General features: G+C 36.3%; 2 protein-coding genes across 4 annotated transcripts in view; both read left to right on the plus strand.

Moving 5' to 3' along the window:
- The window catches only part of LUC7L2 (LUC7 like 2, pre-mRNA splicing factor), an 82983-nt gene that overhangs the window by 24471 nt on the left and 46284 nt on the right, over nucleotides 1-12228 (plus strand). Inside the window, exons 2-3 of one of the 3 annotated variants that reach the window (NM_001244585.2) lie at nucleotides 6445-6521; nucleotides 11120-11214. In NM_001244585.2, the coding sequence (NP_001231514.1) occupies nucleotides 6470-6521; nucleotides 11120-11214 (147 nt within the window). In that variant the 5' untranslated portion in view covers nucleotides 6445-6469. Of the gene's footprint in view, nucleotides 1-6444; nucleotides 6522-9458; nucleotides 9530-11119; nucleotides 11215-12228 lie in introns of all 3 variants that reach the window. The other 2 variants (NM_001270643.2, NM_016019.5) reach the window with 2 other exon arrangements.
- The window catches only part of FMC1-LUC7L2 (FMC1-LUC7L2 readthrough), an 82118-nt gene that overhangs the window by 23606 nt on the left and 46284 nt on the right, over nucleotides 1-12228 (plus strand). Inside the window, exon 3 of the mRNA NM_001244584.3 lies at nucleotides 11120-11214. Within this exon, the coding sequence (NP_001231513.1) occupies nucleotides 11120-11214 (95 nt within the window). The remainder of the gene's footprint in view (nucleotides 1-11119; nucleotides 11215-12228) is intronic.

Here is a 12228-nt window from a genome sequence, read left to right on the forward strand (position 1 = left end):
GAAGGAGGCGGAGCCTTTAATGTATACGCAGACATTTTTTAAATAATAACAGGATATTTCTTAGTCTAGAGCTTGTAAATTCTTTAATATAAGGAGTTTTATAGGATTAAACAGTAGTTTCTCTGCGTTTCAGTTAACTATTTAACTTTATCAGAGTTTCAGGCATATCCAAAACACTGAAAGCACCTGCATAGTGAATCAATGAAAAAAGAAAAGTTTTCCTCATTTTGCATTTTGAACTCTGAATAATATTTCTATCTACACAGCAGCCCAGAAAACAATAAAAGTATCACTTCATATAACATTGCATCGTTCCTGGATTCTCTACAGTTGTTTAGTTCTCCTCAAGTAAGCATATGCTTCTGAGACATTCTTTTACTTCAGGTAAATATAAGCAAAACAAAGAAAAATCATTTTGTCTATTTCTGCATCAGTTCTATAAGGAGCAAGTAAATTCTTTTATTTTCGTTTAGGTTGGATGTTGTCATATAAGGATAGATGGTAGTGTTCAACGTGTTCAAGATGGGTAGTAGGAATTCAATGGCCATGAGGTGTCATGGATCAAGGTCAGGTTTAGTGAATCAGGTACTCTTCAGTAACAGGTGGTTCATACAAAGCATTGAAGCTTAAAGTTGCTGTGAGTTCAGCAAGCAGGAGGGTTGAGAAGACAGGCAGATGGTTTAAAACTAAAGGTCAATAAGTGGGCAAGACTAGTTAAATGAGGCAGATACTCCCCAAAGATGGAATTCCAGAAAGGTGCTTGAAAAGGACTGAATTCTTAAAGCCTACTGCTGTTAGTATGTAGAGTTCTTGAGGAAACAAGCAGTTTGGCATAACTTAATCTACTAAGAAACTATAAGAAGGTGAAGGAAGTTGGAACATCTTACTGGAAAAAGAATGAGGGAGTGAAGAGGGAATCTTGTGAATTCAAAACTTGCAGAAAAGCTATTCTGTTTCCTTTTTGTTTAGGTTCTCATGCACTAGCAGCTGCTAGAATAGATATTGGAAGGCAGGGCCAAAATAGGTCAGTTGTTCAGTTTTGCAAGATTATTGAGGATATAGAGAAATTAATTTGTGAAAACTCTGAAATCATCTGCAGCTCCATGTTTTTGTTTGAACTGAATAACTTAGGACTTTGAGAAGTCAAAGCCGTCAGAAAGTAACATGAAGTCCATTCAGCTGAATAAATGTCATATTTTGCTATTAGCATAGAAAAGAATCTTTAAAACTTCTTTCCAAAAAGCACTCAGTATTGACCCATATGTTCCAGTATAGTTGTGAACCATGTACAACTGATGTTTGACTTATTTGACTCAACATGAAAGGAATTTAACCAGCTGCCCTTGCTGAATCTTGTCTCCTGAATATGGTAAATGGTTTTTGTTTTTAATCTTAATACCTTAGATTTCTGCAGACCCCAGTTTTCTCTTTTAGAGTTAACTGATAATTATTGGATAGTATCTATAATATACCTGGCTGTTCTGTTCTGTACTGTGCTCTAGTATTAGTTTAAATGGTAGACTTTTCTCTTAAAGTAACTTTAATAGTTTAATAGTTAAAGTTACTTGAAGGTATGTTTTAGATCAGGGACTGGCACTATGGCCTCCTGCTTTTGGTAAATAAAGTTTTATTGGAACACATCCATGCCGATTCATATACATGATGTCTATGGCTGCTTTGGCTTACGACAGCAGAGCTGAATGGTTGCAACAGAGTCATATGGCCCGCAAACCGAAAACATTTACCATTTGACTCTAACAAAAGCTTGTTGATCACCATTCTGGTTTAGTTATTCTAAACCAAGTGTGGTCCTTGGAGCAGCAATTCAGCATCACCTCAGCATCACGTCGTATTGTTAGAAATATAAATTCTTGGACCCACCTACTGAGTCAGAAATTCTGGATATGGGCCCCAGCAATCCATGTTTTTAGAAACCTTCCAGGTGATTCTGATACACATTAAAAGTTTGAGAAACCCTCTTCTAGATCAGTGTTTCCCAAATGTTTGTCACACTTATTGCCTTTATTATTATTTATTTTTATTTTTTATTTTTTGGAGACAGAGTCTCTGTCTCCCAGGCGTGAAATGCAGTGGCCTGATCTTGGCTCACTGCAACCTCCGCCTCTCGAGTTCAGGCGATTACCCTAGCTTCCCGAGTGGCTGAGATGACAGGCATGCACTGTCATGCCCTGCTAATTTTTGTATTTTTAGTAGAGATGAGGTTTTGCCATGTTGGCCAGGCTGGTCTCAAACTCCTGACCTCAAGTGATCTACCTGCCTTGGCCTCCCAAAGTGCTGGTATTACAGGCGTGAACCACCATGCCTGGCCTTGCCTTTATTATTATTTACTGTTTTCTGTTTATTTAATATTTTCCTTTATGTCAACTCACTTTCTAAAAATTTTAAGTTAATTTTAAAATGAAAGTTTATACCACCATAAAAATAAATACAATGAAAACAAAATGGTGTATTATGTAACTAGACTCTTGTCACTTAGGGTTCCTGTGCTAAAAATTAGAAGTTGTTAAATTTATTAAACAAGTACTGTTGCAAAATGGGAACTTTTTTTCTTGACTTAATTGTGATTAATAATTTCCTTACTGAGTGGTATTTAAAATGTCTTGTTGGCAAAATCATGTAACACCTAAAGTCATCTTTTGTGCAAATCTCATACTTTGGAAATTACTGTTCCAGGGAGTATTCATGTGAAAGGAAAGCTGTTTGAACTATATATATACCTAAGCCTGTAAGCAGAAATGACTGGACAGAAATACAAGCCTGTGAGACAGAGAGATCTAGGAGATCCCTAGAGAGGTCCATCAAGACCTCCAGGATGAAATTACCTCATTTAGCTCAATTTCTCACCTCTCCGTTAGTGCTTTGGTCCACGGGGGTCAGTGTTTCTGCAGGATTTCACCAACTGGTTCCACAGTGGGAATGTGAAGAGGTACCTGGCTGTGGGAAAAGCTGCTTATCAAAGAGAGGCCTGATAGAAATGCTAGGGAAAGTGGCTGTGAGCCTGCATTATGGACGGGAGCAGAGCGGCAGGGCATGTTGCTAGGACTAAGCAGTCGATTCACGTGAGTCTGGACACCATGTATAAATATTTTGAAAACTTCCTGTTACAATTTAATTTACTCCATTGTGTTAGAGGGAGTGCTTCCCTGCACATGGTGTTCTGTATATTTATTGGTTGATGTGCTTTAGGGTATAGTAATTATTTATAGCAATAGATTGATACCCAGGTTGCAGAGTTGCTTTAGTTATATCTTTATTTCCTTTTCTTAGAGATTATAGACATAATTTGCTTCTGTCATCTTTTGACCAAAAATCTAATGGGAATGAAGAATTACACTTGAATGTTTATTTTTAAGTAATAAGTTCTGTGATAGTGATTATAGGTGTCTGCATTTAAAAAAATGTTTTAAAAAGTACAGAGGTCAAACAAGCATCTGTATGATTGAACAAATGTTATTTCGTATATTTCTGTCAAATTTTAAAAAATGGATAAAGAGGCCGGGCACTGTGGCTCACGCCTGTAATCCCAGCACTTTGGGAGGCCAAGGTGGGTGGATCACCTGAGGTCAGGAGTTCAAGACCAGCCTGGCCAACATGGTGAAACCTGTCTCTACTAAAAATATAAAAATTAGCCAGATGTGGTGGTGGGTGCCTGTAATCCCAGCCACCCGGGAGGCTGAGGTTGGAGAATTGTTTGAACCCAGGAGACGGAGGTTGCTGTGAGCCCACATGGTGCCAATGCACTCCAGCCTGGGCGACAGAGTGAGACACCGTCTCAAAAAAAAAAAAAAAGTAAAAAGTGCATAAAGCATTACAAATAAAGTCTTTTGTGGTCCCCTTCACCGTCTCAGTCCTTTCCCCAGAGGCAACCCTTTTTGTAAATTTGTTGCATATTCACTGTGAGGCAGTATTTCTGCTGTGTTGTTTAGTTTTAAGGCTCACGTCTCCTTCATGGTGATCTGTTTTTCATTTTAACTTCTTCCTTTATCATTGGGTTGTCTATCACCTCTGTCCCTTGATATTTTCATCTTTTTTTTTCTTTTTTATTTCTTTTCCTTTGGATTTGGGGAGGCTCTAGTTGGCTTCTGTAGCTATCACCAGCTGATGAGAACTTGTCTTTTTTAATAGATAAATCAGCCAGTTACTTTTTCTTTGATTATTTTCAGCTATTGCTTGATAGCCAAAGATAGCTTTCGTTACTTCTAATTTTGTATATAGAAAGTTCTGGATGATAGAAGGCACCGGCTATCCAGAGTGCAATTGTTACTATGTCAGAATTACAGCTCTGCAAGTAAGTATCAAAATATAAAATTTAGCAGGCTGTAACTTTTTATGCCATATATCTTAAAATAAATTCTATATAACCTATTTTAGGACTTAATGTTAAAGTAACTATTCAGGCTTTTCTGATGTCTCTTGTAAATTTAAGAAGAGGAATAGGCTGATAGATTTCCTAAAGCACATACCCCCCAAAACATGATAGCATTGGTCCCTGCCAGCTACCAAGACCCTTTGCTTGTATTAATATAATGAGAGAAGATAGGTGCAGGGCATGGAATAGAGCCTTGGAATGGAGATTCTTTAGTATTCCTGTTCTCACATTTTCATCATCACCATTCTGGTTAGCTTCAAAAGATCCTACAAGGTTTTTCTTCTACTAACAAGGCTGTTCCCCAGTTTCATTCTTATAATCTTGTGATATGGATTTTCACAGACAAGTGGGCCAGATTTTTAACATTTTAAAAACATTAATCTTTGATCATATCCAGCAAGAATGAACTTGTTCTGGAGATTTCTTCTACAGTGGGCATCACATTTTAAAAATGTTTGGCTTGTCATGGGGATTATGGTGGGGGGTGATACTGGTACCTATTTCTGATTATAAACTTATGGGACCATATGAACCAGAAGATTAAGAAGGATAGCTTTTCTGAGCTGTATAGCACCCTTGTGTTTACATTTTCTGGAGGAAAGGAAAGCTGCTTTGTTTTATTAGGAACGACTTGATGTCACATTTGGAAGGCAGACTGTCATAATTGTTTTTTCCCGTTGCCATCTTTGGCATAGTACTCTTTCTTCCCTTTCCTTATGTAATAAATATATGCCTGGAAAGTTTTACATAGATCAAGACATATTAAATGTTTTCAAAGCATCTGTATTATTATGTTAAGACATGGTGATGAGTCCTTTTGTAAAATGAACCCTATACTTTGGATGGTTTAAATATACAGTGGGTTAAACTGAGTGTATATATTAACAGGGGAACATGTAGCAAGGGAGTAATGTTTTTTTAAAAGGTTAATTACAAAAGGATTTGTATAGGTGGATTTTAAGCTGAATTCTAAAGGAACAACAAAGGTAGGTGGGAGAAGTTGGTAGAGTGGGTGAGAAAGTTTGAGGAAGATGTAAAAATGATCAGATTGGCTCCTTAGTATAAGAGTTACTGTGCAGCAGTAATCATCGCTTTTACTTTGATTCCACATGAAGACACAAGGGTTTTTTGTTTGTTTGGTTTGAGACAGAGTCTTGCTCTGTGAGCCAGGCTGGAGTGCAGTGGTGCTATCTCAGCTCACTGCAACCTCCAACTCCCAGGTTCAAGCGATTCTCCCACCCCAGCCTCTGTAGCTGATATTACAGACCTGTGCCACTACACCCAGCTAATTTTTATATTTTTAGTAGTGATGGGGTTTCACCATGTTAGCCAGGCTGGCCTTGAACTCCTGACCGCAGGTGATCTGCCTGCCTTGCCCACCCAAAGTGCTGGGATTACAGGCATGAGCCACTGTGCCCAGTGACACAAGGTTTTACTTGTGCACTGCTTTAGATCTCTTCCTGCCCTGGACTAGACTAGAAATTGGCCATGGATCTTTATACAGTTCCCACATTATTACGTGAACTCAGCAGCTTATGTTGGAAGAAATGGAGGGAAAAAGAGGGAGGAACGTTTCTCTGCATTTAGGGATTCAAGGGGTCAGGAAAACAAGCTTTAAGCTTTTGGTTGTACACCTCTCTAGCTCTAGCTTTCCTTTCACTGAGGGGTTATGGATCTTATTTCAGAGGGAAGGAAACTGTCCTGTCCCAAGCCCACTGTGACACGTGACCCTTAACTAGTATACCTGTGGGGAGGGCTTCAGTTGCCACCCTAGAGAATGTGGGAGGGCTTCCCTTCCCCTGCCCCCATTTGTAGACATGGGAGTGTCTCCATTGCTTTGTATGCTGTTGCATTCTCCTCCCTCCTTGTTTTCCCTAAGCTAAGCTCTAAGCTAATTCTGTACAAAATACTGATTGTTTTTGTAAATTGCTTGCCATGAATGCCTGATAATGTACAGTGAAATAGGATTCTGCATACCATTAAATATGTCAAATATTACAAACTTTAAGGTTCTTTTGAAATTACAATACTAAACTCAGTTCACTTTTGCTTAGCCTTCACAGTTGTTGATCACATAGCATGGTCATCCACTCACAGCTTAAAAAAATACAGGGAGCATCGGAGAGAATGGGTAAAGTAAAATTTTGATGTTTTTAAAATAGCACCTAAATCTATGAAAGTTGATTTGGTTTCTTGTTTGTATGGGAGGGAGAGGGTGGGTAGTACTGGGGGGAGGGGGCGGATATTGGGAAGATAGCATGCAAAGTATAAAATCATGTCAGATACTACCTAGGCTAAGGTTGTAATGTTACTAATAAAATTTAAGTGTTAATATAAGTTTCAGAAAAGGCAGGACCATAGAATGGCAGTGTTGGGAATGACAGTGGGCTTATTTTTTCCCTCCTGATATATGGAAGGGGATTTTGAGAATAGCAGTATTTGAGTAAAATTTAGAGAGGAGGCCTCTTTTTAAAGTGACCTGTCTATATTCCCTGGTGGAACTGACTGCCTTAGGCTCTGATACATTGGTGACAGACCTGGAGATGAATAATATGCATCCTCATTTTTATTGTATACTTGTGACTCAGGTGTTCTCAAAGGTTATAATTCATGAAACTCATGAAGGTGTTGAACAAAAGAGGGAGGAAAGAGAGTTGTTGCTTGGTAGAGAATTTGGTAGAAATAGGAATTAATAGAAAAGTTGATGTTTCTATTAAAATGAAAAACACCTCACTTGCTAGAGTTCTAAATCAAGTTTCTAATTCTAAAAACTTGGCTGTGTAGTTAAGTACAAGGCCTGAATAACTATTGTAGAGGTTATAGGACAGAGAGATCTCCATGTTTTTATAGGTGGGATATTTTTTGTTGTTGACAGAAGTAACTTCGCCTGATCTCTGTTCCATTATTTTAATTTTTTTTTTTTACTTTATACACTAAAAATTTGGATTAAAAAATGAAAAATGTAAGAAATCAAATGTTACTCAAAAAGTATTGTTTTGCTCCCAACTCTGCAATTCTACATGAAGCCATTTGCCAAAGCCAGATATGGTTTACTTACTGTTCCCCCAAACCTTCTTGCTCTTATAAGCTTTGTCAAAGCTATTACTCCAGGTTGTAGTGCTTTTTTTTCTACTTTACTTTGATCTAAGTCCTGTCTTTCCTTCAAATTTTGGCTACTTATTGCATGAAGCTTTTTCCAATATTTCCATTCTTGGTGGTAATTTTAGTCTAAGAATTCCTGAAGTACTACCTAATTGAAACACACATTTGATACTTGGATCATGTTATCTTGTATTATAACTTATTACTCCATTAATATATCCTCGGCCGGGTGCAGTGGCTCCTGCCTATAATCCCAGCATGTTGGGAGGCCGAGGTGGGAGGGTCATTTGAGGCCAGGAGTTGGAGATCAGCCTTGGCAACATAGTGAGACCCTGTCTCTACAAAAAAATTTAAAAAATTAAAAAAATTAATATGTCCTATTTCTTTAGCAAAATCATTGGCTCCTTGAGGGGAGAGAGCTTGTCTTATATGCCCCTTTGTAATTCCATTGCCTAGCACAGCAGATGTTGTCACTAATAGGTTTGATTCTGTGATTTGGATCCAATGTCATTGTGACAGGATACTTTTTCCCCCATAATAGGTTATTTTTATATGACTTTATGCCCACAAAACCCAAAGATAAAACACATTAAATTGAAAATAATTTCTTGTATTATAAGGTGATTTGGTTCCTATTTGCAGTTCTTTCTTCTTTTTATAAAATAGGTGCTGTTTTACCTAGTTTCTTATGAAAAACATGGTTTGGGCCAGATATCTTGACAGAAACCAAATTACCAGCATTTTTCTTTTAAAAATTATTGTTGGTTTAGCTGAATTGTACTGCCATGGAATAAGCCCAAATAAATTTGTTAAGTACTGCATGGTTATGCAGCCAGATTGTTTTAAAATGTAAACCTTAAAGTCCCCAAGGCAGAACTTTAAAAATATCAATAAACAGTCAGTTGCTATTCTCTCTCAAGGTATTTCTGTATCTCAAATTATTAAGCGTTTTATTATTTCATTGTTTTAAAGATTTCTATAATGGCTGCTATTTGATAGCTGTATTTGTTGAGTTTGCTACGGTTATCAAATATTTATGGAGCACCCATTCATTTGCGGTGAGGAGTTATTTTAAAATGTTTTTTGGCATTTATAGAAACAGATTCTGATCTTAAAAGCTCACCAGGGAAAATATGTACAACTATTATGTATCCATAAAAATTTTAAAAAACACAAAAAAGCTCACCAGGGATACTGCCTGGTTTGCTATATTCCTATTAGGAATTTGTTCATATTTTAACTGATAGCTGTGTCTTCAGGGCACAATAACTTAATATTTGAATATAAGTTGTTAAGCACAAATCAGTTACTCTGCCTGATGAAATGTTTGATTAGTAAAACTCCATGAATACTGATTTTATTCTAAGGCCTGAGCCATTAGTTTAACAAAGCACTGAAATGATTCTGCTGTTGCCATTACCAAAACATTTAGATACTTTTAGCAGGAAGACTTATTAGATACATAAGGGATTTTTTTGTTTTGTTTTGTTTTTGTTTCAACTTTAAAATTTTATCATTTTAAAATTGCTTAATATAATTAGGGTACAGATTTAAAATGAAATTTTTTTCTTAAATGGTAGGAAGCAAAAAGCTTCTAATTAAATAGCATTGACATTCTGATATGAGTTTATCATAGCACCATTCTAACATGAGCTTGAGGTCCTCACCAAAGTCTTGATGAAACATACTTTTTAAAGAAATAATTTTTTAAAACCCCACTTGGCTCAAAGACATTGTCCAGAGCTCCAGCTTTGGACTTTTACCTGTAGTCAGTCATACAATTATCTGGGGTTATACTTGTTAAGTCAGTATTTAAAAAAATGAAACACCCTGATTTTGTTCACTTTTGTTTTTATATAAAAGAATCTTTACAGTCAACATGTACTTCTAGATGCTGTATTGAAATTGCTGGCAGAGTTTATTCTATACAAAATGAACAATCTGGCCCCTTGTTTTATTTGTAAAGGTTCAATGTATCTATGCCTGCCTACCTCAATCTGCAAGGGAGTGTCAGAAAGGCCCCGCATTCGCCAAGCCGTGAGTTATCGCTAACTTTTCAGATGTGTTAATGAATGTGGAACAAAAGCAGTTGTGTTTAAAAGGAAAAAGGACCATCAAAATAACTTTTATTATAGTAGCAGGCGTAAACACTAAACTGAATATTCCAAATTGTGTCAAAAATAACCTACTAGAGACGAGCTTCTAGAAAACCTATTGTTGAACTGCTCTGAAGCTATCATTTTAACTATAAATTACTGTTGTTAAAATTTTATATACCCTGGTTGCAAATTAGAATGTTTTAAAAATATCTTTAACCACGTTAAAACAATTTGAACAAAATCTTACCCCATCTAAAAATGATAGTGTTTAGTTGAATTTAAGTTAAGCTCTTTAGTATATGACCATATGAAGGGGTAAAGTTTTAATCTTTTTTGTTATTTACATGTGAAAATACAGAAACTAAGTGATTGAATCACATCCTACACGAAAGTTTTTGGAGTGCTCCAGGCATATCATGTGAAATACAGAGGTATTTATATCTCTTTTGGCACCAATAGTTCTTGCTTCAGTAATTCACCAGTAGGTTTTCATTCATCGATAATATATCAGTTTAAGGCTAAAATAAAACACCTACATTTCTTAGGGCTTATCATTCTATATAGAAAGAGGAAACATCCTAATGAGTTTTTTCTTTTGTTTTTCCAAAGAGATTCTAAGCAAAAAAATTTTAACTAACATCTATATTTTGTTATTGGAGCTAGTTACCTTTCTTTTTCTTAGATTCTTTAACGTTTTGAGTAGATAGCCATATTTGATAAGCAGGTTGGATGCTTCTGTTGCTTAGGAGGTAGGTGTATTGTGTTATATGAAGACAGAATGAATTTAAATATACCCAGTTTGGCAGTATGAAAAAGCTCAGACTACATAAAACTTGGAGGTATGGAACCTTTGGACGCATTAAAGTTAACGTTTCATTAGGCAATGTGCCTTTGTTTGACTGGTGTGTAAGTCCTTCTTCCAGGTTTGTACGCTCTTAAACGCGTTATTCTACCCTCTCTAACTCCTCCCAGCAGCAAAAGGGAGACACTTCAGCTGGAACAAAATAGTGGAAGAAATGGCGTCTGGGGTTCAGTGGGGATTCGCAGTGTGTATGCAATGTTTGCAAGATTATTTTTTATGTTTTTCAATTACTGTAAATAAAAATATATCAATGCTTAGTGTCAAGAAGGGAACATTGTATACCAGTATAAACTCTCTTAGTGGGTCTGCAAGTTGCTTAACCTCTCGGGGCCTCAGTTTTCTCATCTGCAATATGAAGGAGTTGGACTCGATAATCTTTAAAGTCCATTCCTGCTCTAAAATCCTATGCTTTTCTGAAGTACTCTATTTAACAGAATGCATTGCTTTCTCACTTTGACTATTTGAATTATGTATGCAGTACACTTACTGCAACTGCATGTTGTCTAAAATAGTTTTTCTATAGGATGTATATAAAAACTAATCCCTCTTGAGCTGATTTATAATGTGTGTATATAGCCACACATAAAAAGCTAGTAATAGTAGGGCTCTCAGAAAATACTTTCCAGTTGTCTAACCTTGAATGTTATTAACTCTTCTATATTACAGGAGATACAACTCGTCAACGAATCAAATTCAGTGATGACAGAGTATGCAAGAGTCACCTTCTCAACTGTTGTCCTCATGATGTCCTTTCTGGAACTGTATGTATTTACTAAATGTATTGTTAGATTACTGATATGCTGCAGTAATGAACTACTTGATAAAGTCTTAATTCTGTGTCAAAAGAATTGACTTGTGAGGGGAGATTTGCATCCTTTATTGTTTGTTTATTCAGGATGATTACTTAAATCTTCAGTAATGGGTTTCCTCACAAAAGTGGTTGATACGTTTTGTTTTATAATTTTTTCCATTCTTCAGAGCAGTTTTTTAAAAGCATGTTTTATTTGGAATACAGAAGTAGTTATATAGCATTTGTACTTTTAGTTCAGAAATAAAATAATTTATTTTTAAAGTTCCTTTTACTGTTAAACAGAGTAGACTTTTATCTAGTACGGTATACATTTTTGTTAAGATTTGTACACATTTGTGGAATCAGTGGGGAAATATATTAGTAAATACTTATATCCACACAGCTTAATTTGGGAGTATTGTCACTTAAAATATTGCTCCTGCTAATAATGTAAAGCTCAATTTAGATTCTATGTCTGCAGAGATGTTGATCTTAGAGTATCATCGTTTTAATTTGGAAGATAAACTGCATGATGATGGACCTGTTGGAATGTGGAACAGAGAATTTGATTCTCTGAATTTTGGATTTGGTTGAAATGATTACAAGTAGCTTCCCTTCATAGTTGCATCTGATGCTGGTGGGGAGCTAGTAGGGGCTAAACCTCGAGCTGGCTTTAGTTCTCATTTGCCAGAAATGACTGAAATGAAGAAAGATTTCTGACTTGCCTTTTCAGAAGCAATGAGTTTCTCAGCCAAATGAGTGGTTTCTTCTTTGATAGGAAGAGTTAAAATTAAGGACATGCCCCAAAGAGAGATGTATCAAGGCATATGCAACAGGAAACACCTTTGACTTTTTCCAGGAGGAAAGACAGTTGAAACTATATTATGTTAACGGGGAAAAAAGAGCCTAAGTTTATTTTAAAGTATAATACTACAAAGCAAGAAATCCAGTTTCTGAGCACAGGAATTTGGAAGGACTGTGACAG

Source organism: Homo sapiens, chromosome 7 (genome assembly GCF_000001405.40).
Source record: "Homo sapiens chromosome 7, GRCh38.p14 Primary Assembly".
Taxonomy (NCBI): domain Eukaryota; kingdom Metazoa; phylum Chordata; class Mammalia; order Primates; family Hominidae; genus Homo; species Homo sapiens.